The following is an 18,034-nucleotide window of genomic DNA, read 5'->3' on the forward strand; positions in this document are numbered from 1 at the left end:
ATGCAATTCATAGAATTGGAGATTCAGGTGCCCTGTATAGTTAAGAAATTATGATAAAACTCATTAGTGGTCAGGGAAAAGCAAGAGGCCATTCCCACCAAAAAAAAAAAAAAAAGAACTGGGGAAACAAAGACCCTCATACTTCATACACTGCTGGGGTGATTGTAATCAGTATAGCCACTTTGGAGGATAATTTCTTAGTATCCATAAATTTAAAATGCACACACCGCATCTCCCAGCAAATCCTTCCCTCCCACTGGCTCCCATGCAAAACCATTCACAAGTATACAAGAAGTCTATGCATTGATACCCATAACAGCTGCACAACTCAAAGTAAGGTTCTTGGACCACTAGCATACGCATCCCCTGAAAGCTTGTAGGAAATGGGGTAGGGGTTTCATCTCAGAACAAATTAATCAGAGTATGTGGAGATGGGCCCCAAAAATCTATTTTAACAAGCCCCTCAGGGGATTCTGATGCTCACAAAATTTTGAGAAGCACTGTGTCAAAACATTGTTTGTACTGGAGGGAAAATGAAAACAAGCTAACTGTCCATCATCTACCATGGCTTACCATATTACAAAAAATTAACCTAGAGTTTAAAAGAATGGGGTAGATATGTGTGGATCCAGAAAAACACTGAAGAACAAAATGTACAGTGTAATATTTGTTTTTAAAAAAGAAACTACAAAACAAAGCCATACATTTCTAAATGTACATTTCTACATGTAAATCTGTGTATGTGTGTGTAATATATATGTATTATATGTGTATATATATTTGTGTGTGTATATATATATATACACATATGTATGTGTGTGTGCAGCACTCATCAAAAAGTCCAGAGTAGATACACCAATTGATAAATGTGCTTAATTCTGGTGAAAATACTGGGATTAGGATGGTGGTCAAGGAAAACTATGGCTTTTTCCTTATCATTTGTTGTTTTTTTTTTTGTAACAAAAATTCATATAGGTATTATTTGTGAAAACATTTGTCTTCCTTTTTTTTTAATTTTAAGAAAGAGCACTCCCTGCGAGTTAGGAGATTTGGATTCTAGACCACCTAGCTGTGTTACCTTGGGAGTCCCAGCCTCCATGACTTCAGATTCCTAGCCTGCCAAACAGAGGAATTAGGCCAGTTAACCCCGAAGTCCTTTTATTCAGCTGTATCATACTATGATTCTTCCAAGAGTCTTGGTGTGAAAATCAGGTCACTTAATAAACCTAACCAAAGCAATAAACAGAAACATGTATGTGTATATCTAAATCTATGTCTGTATTTGTCCTTTGAAGAAATAGTTAATAATGATAATACTTCCACATGTCATCATAGGACAAATGACTTGCATGAGATACCCTGCCTTTAAATATTGCTGTGGCTGTGAGAAGCTCATTTTTAAAATAAACATTAGAAACCTGATAAAACCAATTGTTTCTCAAAGTTTTCTAGGGATCTGAATTTAAATGGATCTTTAGGTCCCTAGTTTCAGTAGCATCAGTATGTGAACATAAACAACATGGCCACACCATCCTAGCAGAATGCACTGGTCCAGACAATAATCATGCATGTGGACAGCTCGTAATTGTATTGGGCATATAGATGGTGTCAGGCCAAAGAGCTATAATGATCGTATCATGTTTTGATTCTAACAGGAAAAGTAGGGATTTATGTCAATCACTCTGTATATCTTCAATATCGTATATCACCTTTGAACATTAAAAAAGATTAGGAACTTGTTTCATGTGTGAATCTGGATTTGTTTTGACCAAGATATAGAGAAATCTGAATAAACCAGAATTCTGGGGGTGGAGCGGGGGAGTCGTAAGGAAGAATCTTGATTAAATCAGAACTAAAAAAAAAAAAACAAAAAACTCTACTAAAAACCAAACAGTAAGGCAAAGCTAATTACAAAGTTCAGCCAACCCAACTTTCCCATAACAGAGAGAAAGTTCTGCTTTCTTGATCATATGCAGTATTCAAACATAGCAGTTAACTGGAAAGAGGTTCAGAGCTTATTGACAACCCTGTCATTTACAACCAGTTAATGACAAATTTGGGACTGGAATCTACTTTTCCTCTCCCTTAGGCCAGGGCTCCTTCCGGAGTGTAAACCAAACAAACACAAATGCCTTTAACACCTTGTATATAAGAGGGTGAGTCAGTCCAATTTTATAAACAAATTATTTTTGAAAAACAGAGTTAAACACTTTTTATTGTATATCTTTAAAATGAATTTTTAAAAGATACATGGGGAAACATTCTTTTACAAATGTAAATGCAATATACCCTCTATTTAGAATTTAGTAATTCTGGGTATGGTATAATTTTCCATCTTTTTAAAAAGAATTAAATGGTACTGTGTGTTGGTTTTCCTCCATGAGTCACCCCAGATCCATTCTGTGGATTGCTCTGCCCTCCTCTGGTTCCTGGATGTCGACCTCGCAACAGCACTTGCCTTTAGGCTTGGTTGCGCTTGTCCACTGGGAATAAGGGAAGGAGAGATTAGTATTTGGAAGAGAAAGAGTGGTTGAGGCCTTACCCCTCTCCACTCAACCCCCATTCCTTTCCTTGCTTCACTGTCTGGCTGACAGTAGCTACCTGGCAGCTGTCTTCCAAGGCTTCACGTTCTCTGGGTTCTGGTGACAGTGATCCCTAAGTCACTTGCTCTCACTTATTGGTGCCTTTGACCCAGCCCACGCCTCTGTAAGTAGTCCCTTCACTACTCTTTCAGTTAATCGTTTGAATGTTCCATCAGTTTCTTGCCAGGACCCTGACTGCTCCCTGCACAGAGTAAGAAGCCTGCAGGTATCCATGAATATTCTGGTGTAATGACAGCAACTGGTAAATGAAGGCTCATGCCACTCCTGAATAAATCCCAGCCAGGGCCACATCAGGTCCTGCACAACCCACATCTGCCTCTCTGCATGCTCTGTCCCTGTTGGCAGAGGCGATCTGCCATGGACCTGAGCATGCTGCCTGTTCTCACTGTGTACGTCGAAAATGCAAGACTCTGGCCACCCTTGACCCAGGCTGGTTGGATGAGATTACGTCTCTCTCCAAGACAAAAAGAACAATCTTGCTTCCCACTTGCCATAAATAGAGCAGTGGATTCCTGATCTCGATGTTTCTCAGCTGGACACATCTCAGTGAGTACATGCCTCCCACCTGGCCCATCTGTTGCCCTCCTGGGACTTTGGAGACAAATGAAACTGAGGAAAACCTGATGCTCAATATTGCTGGCTGTGCTATGAGCCTAACCCAGGAGCCTCATGTCATCTTCTGGTATCCATGAAATAGTAACAGGCTAATTTATGAGCTTGTAAGTAGGGTAAAATCCCAAGCCCCAACATCTTCATCCACTACACCCCAGCCATGCTGTCTTCCTGGGTCCTGTCTTCAGGATTTTGTACTTTCTGTGACTTTCATGTGGGGTGCTCAGTCCCAAGTCTTCACATGTCTGTTCTGACTTTTCTCAAGCCTCAGGTCACTTACCTCCTCAGAAGCCGCCCTCAGAACCTGATCAAAAGTTGTTCTATTTTATTTTCTTCTTAACATTGTTTACTATCTCACATTATCTTTCAGTTATTTGTTTAATGCAGGGGTGTCCAATCTTTTGGCTTCCCTAGGCCACATTGGAAGAAGAAGAATTGTCTTGGGCCACACATAAAATACACTAACACTAACGATAGCCGATGAGAAAAAAAAACAATCTTGTAATGTTTTAAGAAAGTTTACAAATTTATGGCCGGGTGTGGTGGCTCACGCCTATAATCCCAGCACTTTGGGAGGCCGAGGTGGGTGGATCATGAGGTCAGGAGTTCGAGACCAGCCTGCCCAATATAGTGAAACCCCATCTCTACTAAAAATACAAAAATTAGCCGAGCATGGTGGTGGGCACCTGTAGTCCCAGCTACTCAGGAGGCTGAGGCAGGAGAATCACTTGAACCTGGGAGGTAGAGGTTGCGGTGAGCCAAGATCTCACCATTGCACTCCAGCCTGGGCAACAAGAGTGAAACTCTGTCTCAAAAAAAACAGAAAGAAAGTTTACAAATTTCTATTGGGCCGCATTCAAAGCAATTTTGGAACACATGCATCCCACAGGCCATGGGTTGGACAAGCTTGGTTTAATGCTTATCTTTCCCCTACTGAAAAATAAGTTCCAGGAAAACTGGGGTCTCTTCTGTCTTGTTCTCTGCTGTCTCTCCAGAACTTAGATAGTGTTGGCCCAGTAAAATAGCACAAATGGATATTTAACAAGTAAATAAATAATTCATTTATGAATAAATGAATGAGTTTTTGCAATGTTACCCTTTATTGTGTGATAGTATACACTCTGACTTTCAGGTGCCTTATCTGTACAACGGCAATAAGAAACTAATCTGCCTATGTCATATATATTATATCACATATACAGTTATATCTATCATATAATTGTACATTTATATATAGTAGCATATTTCACCTTATAGGTTATATATAACAATCAAGTGAGATAAGGTAATAGCATCCTGAAAACTGCAAGGACAACATCATTCCTGTAAAATGCAAGGTTCAGTGTTAACATAAAAGCACACATTTGGGGTCAATCTTAACATTTTCTGCTTTGTAATATCACTTAGAGAAATCACATACTTGTCATGAGATGCATGTTCAATGCAGTCAATTAAACAGGGAGTTATAAAAAAGTGAAGGAGTGAAAGAGACATTTCTCAATACATCTAGTTCTAAGTAACAACACATTACTATCTTCTGACCAAAAAGCACTGCTCAGGGCCCATCCGGTTCTAAGTCACTACAATTATAGAGACGTCATGCAGAGATGACAATGCTCCAGTGGTTTCCAGGGCTTCACCCTTACTAATGAGGTAGATTCCACAGACCATGCAGGAAAACCAGGCTCCTTGCTGGATGCTCCAGGGGCTCTGAGCGTTCACACTGTCCTCTCCCCCAGCGTGACTTGTAGTGTGCACCAAGTTTTGCAGAGCCTTTTACAATGTGGGTGATTTGCATTCTCCCAAAACACATCTGATATAGTATTACAAGGGTGGGAGGGGACAGGGGATTCCCTGCCTTAAATATTTTTATGTAGCCCCCACCACCTGGAGGTTCACTGGGGATCTTCATAGAAGAAATAATGAAGCCTTCCTCAGCCTCCTCCCAGCTCCCTACTCACCTTTCCCCAAGCTCCCACTTACCCACCTGTGTTTCCTGCCTGGATCTGCCAGAGCTCTTACTTGTTTCTGGTAGTCCTGTCCAGGGATGAGACAACTTGGGGATTTGAATGCCGAGACTATTTCATAGGGAAGGACCTCTCCCCCTATTCAATGCCAAGAAGAAAAATCTCAAAATTTCTGGCATCAGAGACTTTATAAACTTTAAGGATTTACAGTCAGACTGGTGAAATCCCTGTGAAAATTTGAAGTAAATTATGTCTAAGAGAAGTTTCCTCATCTGTCAAATGACAATGTTGGAATATTTATTTTTTATTTTTATTTTATTTATTTGAGATGGAGTCTTGCTCCGTCACACAGGCTGGAGTGAAGTGGCACAATCTTGGCTCACTGCAACTTCCACCTCCCGGGTTCAATCAATTCTCCTGCCTCAGCCACCTGAGTTGCTGGGATTACAGATGCCTGCCACGACACCTGGCTAATTTTTATATTTTTAGTAGATACGGGGTTTCACCATGTTGGCCAGGCTGGTCTCGAACTCCTGACCTCAAGTGATCCATCCGCTTCAGCCTCCCAAAGTGTTGGGATAACAGGCATGAGCCACTGCACCTGGCCTGGAATATTTATTTAACAAATATTGTCATGGCACGTACTGTGCACTAGACAATCTCCAAAGGGATACACATTACTAAAACATGGCTAAGTTACTAAAACACTACCAAATTACTAAAACATTACTTTGTTTAATACTCACAAGGCAAGCACTATTATTACCCCCATTCTGCCGATGAAAAAAACTTGAGGCAGAGAAAAGTGAAGTAACCTGCCCAAAATCATGCAGATGACAAAGCAGCAGACCTGGACTCTGGACCCAGGAAGCCCGGCTCTGGGGCCTTCTGTTAGCGTTTGTACCATGCTGCCACTTAGACTATCACCAAAGTCATATGCTGTGCTAATATTCGTGATTCAGCTCCCCCAAAGCCTTCATTTTTGTCACATTGGAACATGAATATTCATAAAGTACAGTGGTTATTTGGCCAGATTCTCTCTACTTCCTACCTTATAAGTTGCTTTCTGAGTAAGTGCAGGAGTCAGGACTCTTCTGTGAAATGCCTGGAGAGGTAGTAAAAGCTGCCTCTTCCCTGAGTCCAGCGAAATCGGAGGACTCTGGCCTTTTACCGGAGCAGAATTACTAGAATGCTGTAAAGAAAATGTCCACAGTGCCCCTAGGCATGTGAAACCTGGAATCCAGATGAGCTTTCTGTTGTGACTACTCTGCACAAATAGGACCTTCCAAGACCCTGTGTCATGTGCCCCAGCTCTCCTCCTGCACCCGCTTCCCTACTCCCCCTGACCCAGGCATTCAGACCTTCGCACACAGCCATTGTGAAGCTTTCTCAAGTCATCTAAGTACAGACTTAGTGGTCTGAGTGCCTCATAGTAAACCTCAGTGCCACTCATGGGTAAACAGCCCACAACTAGGACCTGAGTATGTGGGCCTTCTTTCGCCCATCTCAAGATCAGCAAGGGGGAATTCAATCCCAAAATATTCAACATCAAAAAATAACATGAGGAGGAATGAATAGGCAGTGCACAGATGATTTTTAGGTAAGTAAAACTATTATGTAAGATACTATATTGGTGGCTGCATACCATTATGCATTTGTCAAAACCCATGGACTGTACAACACCAAGAGTGAACCCGAATGTTAACGATGAACTTGACATGATAATGTGTCAATGTAGGTTCATCAATTGTAACAAACGTACCACTCTGTGGGGGGAATGTTGATAATGGGGTAGGCTGGGAGCAGGGGAGCAAGAAGTATATGGGAACTCTGTACTTAGTGCTCAATTTTCCTGCAAAGCTACAACTGCTCTAAAAATAAAGTCTATTACAAAATAATAGTAATAATATGGACCTTTACTTCAGCCTTGTAAAAGGAGGCAAAAAGGAAATCCTAGCCTGAAACTACTACCACGTGGCATCTCTTTTTTGTCTTCATTATATATATATATATATATATATATTTTTTTTTTTTTTTTTGGAGATGGCGTCTCACTAGGTTGGAGTGCAGGGGCGTGATCTCAGCTCACAGCAACCTATCAGGTTCAAGCGATCCTCCCACCTCAACCTCCCGAGTAGCTGGGACCACAGGCGTACACTATCATGCCTGGCTTATTTTTTGTATTTTTGGTAGAGACCGGGTTTCACCGTGTTGCCCAGCCCGGTCTCAAACTCCTGAGCTCAGGCAATCCACCTGCTTCACTTTCCCAAAGTACTGGGATTACAGGTGTGAGCCACTGTGTCTGGCCTTCATTCTTTTTTGACTCCAGCCCACCTGCTGTGGTTGTGATTCTCCTGCCTTGACACCCTGCTTTCTCTCTGGGTCTCTTTCTCCTTCTCTGTCCCTCTGTCACTGTTTGTTCTAACTACAGGTCCACACACATAGGCACACCTCACTCTTAGTGGCAATAAGTCTTTTCTTAAATAAGTCAATCAAGCTTCACTATCTTTGCTACTTTCCTCATTCCCCTCACCCCCATCAGTTCAACAGTGTACAGACAACCTGGGCAGGCCAGTGTGAAAACCTCCTTAAAATGTCAAGCTGGAAGTGCTCTCAATGCAATAAAGTGGCATTATAAGTGCAAATATAAATTTGAATTGCACACAGTATTAAATTGTGTGGTTTGAGAACAGTGCAATTTTAATAATATTAACACAGCTTCCCATTAGGCACAAATTTTGAAATAATGTGTAGCCACCACAAATAAACACTTGTAAAGATTATCTAACTTAAAGCTGACAGGATATATAAATTGTAAACTGAACTGAGACATCATCATAGCCTTCCCATATTGGCCTTTGAACAGACACCCACTGTCCTTCAGCATGGTTTCCCTTAAGCTATGGCAGATTTGAATTCCATAAGGAACACATTTTTAGGCCTACATCTTCTGATTAAATGAGCAGAGTAGTTATACTTTGATAATTTTGTTTCTGCCATATAATTTAGGAATCAGAAATATGTAGATAATCACAACATACTATATTAATTGTGGCTTTAATATAGAATGTAATATTTCATTTTCTAAGTAAAGTGTTAAGTATTTTCCAAAGACAGATCAGGTAGCTATGTACAAAACAGTGCTTTTTTGGTTTATGTGGCCTTGAACTTAAACGTCAGCTTGATGGTTAATGATGTGACTGCTATGTATGCAGATAGTAAAGAAAGTACTCTCTATTGATCAATAATATGTCCGATTTAATTGCCCTAGTATTGAATGAAAATCCCTAAAGAATTTTCACTTCCAGCAATGTTTTCTGACTTCCTCTTGGTGTCTAGACAATAATGATTTACTGAAATGTGTGGGGAGGAACATACAAAAAGGCCTTAAAAATATACAATATTTCTGGTTATTGAGGTAGGGGAAGTAAGAAAAAACAAAGCAATATTTTGGATTAGTACTAAATATCGAGATCAAGCCATTCTGATACAAATAGGATTTAATAATAAAAAGACCCCAATATAAAAAAGTTATATTTGATCAAGATGACAATGCCAGGGTGAGAAGTAAGAAGTTTATAAAATCAAAATGATTTTCTATAAAAATTTCTAAGTAAAGTGCCAAATAATCTTTTAGAAAACAAAAAGATTCTTGAAAAAACAGATTCTTTTCCATACCAGGTACCATGTTTCTCTGAGTATTTGTGAGTGAGCTTATCAGTTTCAGTTTTCAGGTAGTCTGAGAACTCAGGGCTTAGAAGCCCTTGAAGCCAGATCTTTTCATAAATAGCTGAATCCTCTCATTTCACAACAGCCAAGAACAGTCAGCTTCTACTTGAATCCCTCCAGTTATCATCTTACTTTATTTGAGACAGCTTCGTTTGAATTAACTTTCATCTATTGGTATTAACTCAATCTTTTAGGACAATAAAAGAACTGCATTAATTAATGCCATGGTTTAAATATATGCGTCCCCTCCAAGGTTCATATGTTGGAATGTAAACCCCAAGGTGATGGTATTAAGAGGTAGGGACTTCAGGAGGTGATTAGGCCATGGGGGATCTGCATTCGTGAATGGGATAAATATCCTTATAAAACAGGCTTCAGAGAGCTGCTTGGTCCTTGCACCTCTTCTCTCTTCTACCACGTGAGAACATAGCATCTGTCACCTCCAGAAGAAGCAGCAACAGACATGGTCTTGGAAGCAGAGAGCAAGTCCTCACCAGACACCAAATCTGTCAGAACCTTAATCTTGGACTTCCCAGCCTCAAAAACTGTGAGAAGTAGGTTTCTGTTATTATATATCACCCAGTCTCAAGTATTTTGCAATAGCAACAGGAATAGACTAAGACAATGAGTTTTGCACAATCTAACTTTTAAAACCTCCAGATAAGCAAAGCATGAGTTTTATTTCAATGAATTAAAAGGACAAAGTAAGAAATTTCTCAATTAACTGACATTATTGAGTTCTGTATAACCTGAAACATACATATTTAACATTTAGCCCATTTCTAGGCTTGATAAGTAGAGTACAATACAGACAGTGAAGAGTATTGTGCCTCATTATACATATTCTCGAGAAAGTATAGACTTTTAGAAATATGAAAAGAGATGTAAGACATGGGAATTAATTATACTGATTCCAAAATATATTCTGGAAGTTGCAAATTCTTAACAAAAACCAAAATCAATCCTGTGTAAAAGATTGCATTGGGTTCTTATATTTGCATGCCAAAAAATTCTTAATATGAGGTTCTTATGCTTAAGATGAGCTTCTTATAAGAACACCACATATTCCCCCGTGAGTTATTACTAGATTAAAGGGGCAACAAGGAGTAAAGAAGTCTTCTACATCATTTTATGTTTTTATATACTACTACATTTACTACTTTCCAGACAAATGAGCCATTTTACAGTCATCTCAATGCCTTTCTGAAGAAAGGATCTACAACCCCACTTAGTTTTAATGGCCCAGAGCAAAATCATGAAGAAGGTAAACTTTGTATTTGACATTTCCCCTTTTCCCATAGTTGAGATTAGTTTTTTTTTTTAATTAGGAAATCAGAAGGAAGAATAAGGAAGGAAAAGCAGACCAATTAAAGAGTAATGGCAGGTACCTGGTGTGCCAGGACAAGCCAAGAGAAGGCAAGTTCTAGATGGATGACAGCAAGGTGTGAAATGGAGCATTGGAGGCCTACCAGGGTGAGTTCTCATGTGAAAAGCAAGAGTTCTACTTGTATCATTATTTGCTGAGGCTCCAGTATTCCCTCCCTCTTTAACACGTACTTGGCTGCTGAGATTGGAGGTAAGAATGAGAAGAGAGGAGCTATTTAAGTTTGTCTCTCCACAAAGGAAACGTTTGGATGGGTGGGCATCGTGGGCACCCTCACCATGGCCAGGAATGTTAGGGGGTGTTCTGCAAGCTCTTTCACACACACCCACACTCCTGCAGCAATCTAATACGGTGCTGCAATCAAGGGGACACTGCTCAGGGGCGGAACATGTGTGATTTCTCTTCCCAACTTGCAAGACTCTACCAAGAGACTTCCACCATTCATGCTGGTCTCTAGCTGTATCTCTGTGAGCATTCACATCTCCTGCTCTGCTGAGTTCTTCCATTTGCTTCTTCAGACCCATTTTTCATCCTTTCCCACAGGTGCTGACCTTCACTATCTACCAGAAAAAAATTGAAGGAGTGATGTGGTTTGGCTGTGTTCCCACCCAAATCTCACCTTGAATTGTAATTATCCCCACATGTCAGGGGTGGGCCAGGCGGAGATAATTGAATCACGGAGGCAGTTTCCCCCTTACTGTTCTACTAGTCAATAAGTCTCATGAGCTCTGATAGTTTGATAAAATGGGAGTTCCCCTGCACAAGTCCTCTTGCCTGCCACCATGTAAGACATGACTTTGCTCCTCATCTGCCTTCCACCATGATTTTGAGGCCCCCCCAGCCATGTGGAATTGTGAGTCAATTAAATCTCTTTCCTTGATAAATTACTCAGTCTCAAGTATGTCTTTAGTAGCAGTGTGAGAACAGACTAATACAAGGAGAGGGAAGAAAGATATTTGGGCATTTTTTTCCCCGATTCCTGCTTGCCAGTGTGCAATCTGTTGGTCTCCAACAATCCTTCTACTGAAGGCTTCTCCTCCCTTCAGACAGTCAGGTCTGGTTGTGGTCCCCACGCCTACCCCTTGCTATTTCAGGGTGGTCATGGCTCACCACTGTCACTAGCCCAGGGTACAGCACCACCTGTGTTGGTTTTCCTCAGCCCTGGCAACACCTGTGTAAATGATCTCTTTACTAAACTCTTCTCAGTACCCAGTTTGATTGAATCATCTGTTTCCTACAAGGAACCTGACTGATTCAGCCTCCAACCAGGAATGATCTATTCTTTTTTTTTTTAACCTACCCAAATCCTATCTATCCTCTAAAGCTCAGCTCACATTTTCGTTCAAATCTCATCCTCATGCTTGTGCAACTACACTGACGTCTCCCATCTGATGTTCTCTAAGCTCATACTCTACAGCTCCCAATTTGTCCTCTGTTTCAGGCCTCTTCTTCATCTCAGCACCACCAGTACAGTTGATAACTTTTTTTGCTTATACCCTTACTGCTTGATCCTGTGTTGGCTCAACATTAGGCACTCAACAAAAGTCTTTCTTGAGCTGTAGCAGTCACTCCTTAGCGATCACACCTTGAAAAGAGGTGTGAGTGCACATTTATCTTAAGAGAGCATGTCACAGGATCACAGGTAAGTCGACTAAGAAGAAACTAGGGAGATAATCTGGCCTAATCTCCCTATTATGGTGATGAGAAAACTAAGGCTTGGAGAGATGACCTAAAGTCCAACATCGCATAGTCAGTGAGTGGCACATCTGGGGCTCAAAGCCAGAATATTTTTATTACATTCCTTGCTGCCTCTGATACCAGTTTTATGTATCTCAATATCTTCTTATCAAAAATCTACTTCTTCATATCTGAATCCTTAGTATAGCCCTTCCATTTCAAAAACAGCATATATTTGTTCCTCCTGGTGAAATACAATTTTCCTGAGCCCCCCAGGGCTGTTAGTTATTCATGCATTATCCTTCACATATCATTTTAAAAATTAACCACCCAGACAAAGACTGGATTCTGTTCTTCCCTGTGTATCTGGGAAGGGGAGAATAGAGCCCTTTGGCTCTTTACTTCAGTATTCTCAGATAAATTCAGGCAAACACAAAGAGTATTCTGGCCATTGTCTGCCGCTTCACTCACAGCTACATGCTGAATAGAAAAGGGATCAACTACCCACATTTAAAATATTCATAATTACATACTCTGTCCTACAAGGAGCACCTGGCTGCCAGCAGATGCACAGAGAGAGCTGCACAGAGCCGTAAGCTCTTACTCTGCTAAGGAATCCAGCCCTGTTAGAGGCTGAGCCCTGGAGTCCTGAATACTCAGACCAAATGCAAGCTCACAGTACATGTATACAGCACTGAAGGCAAGTTCCTTGTAATGCTTTTACTGGCTTATGTTAGGGATTCTGAGCATGCAATAATGAATTTTATTTGCTATTCTGATAGAGAATGACAGGCATGCGCATTCATGGATTAGCCACCTTAGTTTTGCAACATATGAATGTAAAAATTAGCAACTGATGACACCATTCCATTGTCACTACGAGTCAACTATAAGACAATAGAGAACATGAAGCCAACGGAGTGCTACCTATGGCTCACGACATGACCCAGAACATCGCCATGTGGGTTTCAGACAATGAGTATTCTACCCCTTCCCATATCAGACACCATTTAGTGCCATACTTTTTATTACATTAAAGGAGGCTCCATATAAAAATGTCAGCAGTATCCAGTTGACTCATGGAATTGAGAACTGTGCATTAGCTGCTGATTTAAATTAATTTTGCTTCTTGAACCATAAAAAATAGTTCTTTGAACAAGAATTCATGATAAATACACATGTGTAAAAGACCCTTAATCATAATTATTTTAAATACATAAAACACAGTTTAAGACTCTCAGCCTCATTAATTTCTTATGGTATAAAAGAACAAAAGCAAATGGTAAATAGGAAAAGTATGTCATAATTTAAATGTATTATTCATGGTCATTTAGCTCATTAAGTAAAAGATTCTTTATAAACTCTAGGCAAAAGATCATTTCCATACCACCCAATGACAGCAAGCAATGTTATGATTTTCTTGTAGAGAACTGGCGTTGTATATCATTTAGATTTTAAGAGAATACTACCTACAATTAAAGCAGTAGAATTAGAATATACTACTTCCCCCCTTATCCATGGGAGATATGTTCCAAGACTCCAGTGGATGCCTGAATCTTCTAATAGTACCAAGCTCTGTATACACTATGTTTTATCCTATATATACATACCCATGATAAAGTTTAATTTATAAATTAGATACAGTGAGAGATCAACAGCAGTAGCTAATAATAAAACTGGACAATTATAACAATATGCCAGCATCACTGCTCTTACACTTTGGGGCCATTATTAAGCAGAATAAGGGTTTCTTAAACACAAACACTGCGATACTGTGAGAGTCAATCTGATAACCAAGGTGTCTTCTAAGTGACTAATGAGCATGTGGCATAGACAGTGTGGATATGCTAGACAAAGGGATGATTCACATCTGGAGCAGGACAAAGCAGGATGGCAGGAGATTTTATCACACTACTTAGAGTAGCATACAACTTAAAGCTTATAAATTGTTTATCTCTGGAACTTTCCACCTAATGTTTTTGCACCACCGTTGACTAACAGTAACCAAAACTTCGGAAAGCGAAACTGCAGATAAGGGAGACAACTGCTGTAATTGAAATCATCTTGTGACACGTTGGGCTTCCTCTTTCTGGGCACTTAACTCTAGTTTTCTCTGTCAGGGTCCCAAAGAGCAGGGGACACATTTCCAAGGTATGACATATAGTAGGGGTTAAGTAAATGTCAGTATGCTCTATATCTACACAGGAGCCCTAATCCTCCCCATGACCCCACACTCTGAATCATCGTGGGGTTTATCTCCCACCCTCTGAAGCACGTGTCTTACCAAGGCCTCCAATACATCTGCCCCTTCTTGGTCATCCAGTCTAATGAACACAATGCCATCAATATAGTGGATCAATGTGATGATGTTCAGGACATTCAGATGATTTGGGTCCCTTCAGATTATATTATCACAGAAAAGGAAGAGTTAACATAGCCTCAAGATAAGACCTTAAATGTATTCTGTCGTCTGTTCCATGTGAACGTAAACCACTTCCGCTTCTCCTTTCTGAGAAAGATGGGAAAGAGCACATTTGCCAGATCTGTAGCCACACGCCCTGTATTAATAATTAGCTGTGTTCATTGGCTGGGTAAGATACTACTCTGGCGCAGTAATTGCAAGTGGAGCTACTACCTGGTTGAGTTGGCAGAAGTCAACTGTTAACCTGTTTTGTTTGTTTGTGGTTTTCTTGTCTTTTTTGTTTGGCCAGAAACTGATTAATTTAATGGGGATATGATGAGGCTCACTACCCCTGTAAGGCTGGTATTAATTGCTGCCATTTCCCCTAAACAAAACATTGCCTTTTATTTATTATCTTGTTGTAATAGGGGTGGGGACAGTTTCAAATTCTTCCCCACTATGGTAACTCTTCACTCTCAAGCCAAAGGATCAATGTGGAGGGTTTCACTAGCTATCAGCATATATATCCCAACTATACGTATATGCATATACACAAACATACACTAAGAGTTGGGCCTAGGCTTGGACTCCATTTTATTACCAGTCCCCATCTACCCCCATTCTTAGGAGGGCCACAATAACCCTTTACCTCCCTAGGTATCAGTGCTACCTTGACCCTGTATCCAGAAGTACTCACAAGTGTCTGAGTACTACTCTTTCCCCATTGTAAGGTTACCTGAATAAATGGCCATAGGTCCCTTTGGGGAAAATCTGTAGGAGTCATTGTCATATATATTTGCCATGATTTTGCAGGTCCTTCCTCCTGGAGATCTGGCCTCTCCCTCAGTCAGTGGCATCCAGTCTGAGAAGTGGCTCATGTCCAGACACTGATAAGGGACTGTGACTCTTTAGAGGGACACCTGCACTTAGCCTCCTTGATTTCTTTTAATTGTATAGATTGAGTGATTCCCTTGATGACTGTCCATCTATCTTGCTATGTCCAATAAACCATCTCCATGGCTCTGTGTGGGTCACATCCCCCCAACTACTATTATGACATTGCTTTTCATTATGATAATTGCATTGCATCTCGCTTCTGATATTAAGCACCACCACCTGGCCTTTATGATTTCAGGATCCCATCATCCCTGTTGTAGTGAGGGAGCCCAGTTCTCTAGCAGCAGGTCCCTGGCTTACAGAGAAAGCCTCCACTGAACTTCTCAGTGATGCTGGTCCCTGTCTGAGTGATGCATTACATATCACTTTAGTCAATAGAGTGTCCTCTGTCCTGTCCCTGGAATGTAGTCAGCTGGGAGTATTTGCAATGTTTTGTAATACATCCATTCTTGAATGTACTCATCCTTGGGGCCTTTTGGTCCTTTTCTACCATCTTCTACACAAAAGTTCTGGCTTTTCTATTTAGTGTGGGTCATAACCTTCTCCAGTCTTCCAAGAGCCATCCTAGCCGTGTGTTAGAAGGTGCAAATGCAACCAGCATTTTTGTCAGGGCATTAAATACTGTAGACTAGGACAGTGGTCCACTATCAATATGCTCTCCCTTACCCAACCTCATGCTCTGCCCTACAAATTCAGCATCTTCAGGATCCAGTCCCATATGGATTATGTGGCCAGGTGTCACAGCTGATTTATTATATTGTCCCTTTCCTCCCTTAGCAGGCTCCATCTTTCCTGGACAGATTATGTTGGAATTGACTCTATTTGTCTCATACTAGGCCAGGACGGGTGGTGGAGGTAATTCCTGAGGGGTACATGTTGTCTTACAAAGCACAGGCCTCTGCAGTTTTTAATGGTGGGGGCTTTAGGGGGTGGGCATGCTAGCCTTGAACATTTACCAGCTCAGAGAGTTCCAGGCAAAACGGGTTTTAAGGGTTTTTTTTAGTGCACCCACCCAGGTATCCCCTTTCTAAGACTCTCAACCAGGGCATGGCCTTGACATGATAGACTTTCTGCATCTGAGACTTCAACCTTCTATGGAGCTTTGCCATCCTGAAAATTATGGCCTAGAACTGACCCTCAGGTTTTTCTGTCCTTGATCACAGAGATAAGAATCTCTTTATATGTTCCTAAAGAGCTCCTCTGACATTCACAGTATCTCTCAAATTACTGATTACTGACTCAAAGTCATTCACTGTCTTTCTCCAGGGCATGAGATTGCAGTCCACAACAGCCATTCAATTCCATCATCCTCATAAGTACCAGTCCTCTCAGAATCTAACAAACCCTGAGATATTTAAGTGCATTCCTTCTACTGCTATCCCATCCCTGTTCACCACTGATCAAGTAATAATAGTTTCAGTGCTATAGAATGCCAGGGATCTTCCATGTTTCACCTGACACCAGCAATAGTTTCCATATTGCCAGCTGGCCAGCAAGTAATGCAGCTCCAAAATCACATTCATTGTCTGCGTTCTCCAACCACTCCTGACACCAAATGCTTTGGTGATTAGATTCTAAGCCTGCAACCCCTGTTTTGGAGAACGTTTATTAGAGAATGCTCAGGAGTGATACGTGTGAGGGAGTGAAGCCAGTAATATTAAGCAGAAGGAAAAGTTGAAAACAATGTTGTTGTAGCAGACTCAGCCAATCCCCCACAGACTTCTTGAGATGTCTTCAGATATAACGGCCCATCAGAGTTGGCCCAAATTGAGGCAAGGAGGCTGGCCTTTGTTTCCTTACACTGACCAGTCATTTCCCTGGGAACTGATGAAAACTTGAGGGAAGCAACTCCGTTAAGGCCAGGAGCAATTTCCTGTGGGGACTCAGCTGCACAGTTTCAGTCTCCAACATTCCTGCAGCTTGGGAAATCAGTGGCTTAGATCTGAGTCAGTGACTCCAGTCTTCCTTTTTCTGCTCCAGATATCCACGCTCATGTGCCTAGCTGCTGCTAATAATGGCAGCACTGGGTAATATCCACTCATTCTCCACTGTTCCCCCTCTTTCCACAACCTAGTTTAGAACATAAAGAAAGGAACTTAAGAAGGAAAAAAGAAAGAGAAAGCCAATGAAATGAGTACCTCTTGAGGACCTTATAGGTTCCAGGCTCGGTACTAATCTCTTGCATATGTTTCTTCATTTGTCCCTCACAACCACTCAATGAAATAAGGATCATGTCTAGTTTATAAAGAAACCGGGGCTCAGAGCAGGCTGGTACAGTAGCAGGATCTCCTTTTTTTTTTTTTTTTTTTGAGACGGAGTCTCGCTCTGTTGCCCAGGCTGGAGTGCAGTGGCGCGATATCAGCTCACTGCAAGCTCCACCTCCCAGGTTCACGCCATTCTCCTGCCTCAGCCTCCTGAGTAGCTGGGACTACAGGCGCCCGCCACCACGCCTGGCTAATTTTTGTATTTTTAGTAGAGATGGGGTTTCACCTTGTTAGCCAGGATGGTCTCAATCTCCTGACCTCGTAATCCACCCACCTTGGCCAGGATCTCCTTTTAAGTGGCCATGGCCTCTTGGAATCCTGAGATAAGATAGGAAAGCCAGAAACTGATATTGCCCAAAGAACCTTAGGTTTCAGGGCCATATCTGTCATATAATGAGAACAAGGAAACAGATGTCTGACATCTAGCTCCAACAAGAACAATTCAGCTAAGGCTTACATACATCCCCAAAACAACACCTCACAACATCCATCTCAGTTTT

At 41.2% G+C, this 18,034-nt stretch overlaps 1 protein-coding gene across 14 annotated transcripts in view; it reads right to left on the reverse strand.

The window, feature by feature from the left end:
- FTCDNL1 (formiminotransferase cyclodeaminase N-terminal like) overlaps positions 1-18,034 on the reverse strand; it is a 187,358-nt gene that overhangs the window by 94,518 nt on the left and 74,806 nt on the right. For 7 of the 14 annotated variants that reach the window (XM_024452869.2, XM_047444164.1, XM_047444171.1 and 4 more), the window contains one exon: positions 2,187-2,483. The exons of 4 other annotated variants lie outside the window; for them this stretch is intronic. In XM_024452869.2, coding sequence (XP_024308637.1) covers positions 2,461-2,483 — 23 coding nt within the window. In that variant the 3' untranslated portion in view covers positions 2,187-2,460. Of the gene's footprint in view, positions 1-2,186; positions 2,484-4,465; positions 5,321-8,664; positions 17,341-18,034 lie in introns of those variants that run through there. 3 more of the 14 variants (XR_007074202.1, XM_024452858.2, XR_002959289.2) reach the window with 3 other exon arrangements.

Source organism: Homo sapiens, chromosome 2 (genome assembly GCF_000001405.40).
Source record: "Homo sapiens chromosome 2, GRCh38.p14 Primary Assembly".
NCBI classification, from domain to species: Eukaryota; Metazoa; Chordata; class Mammalia; order Primates; family Hominidae; genus Homo; species Homo sapiens.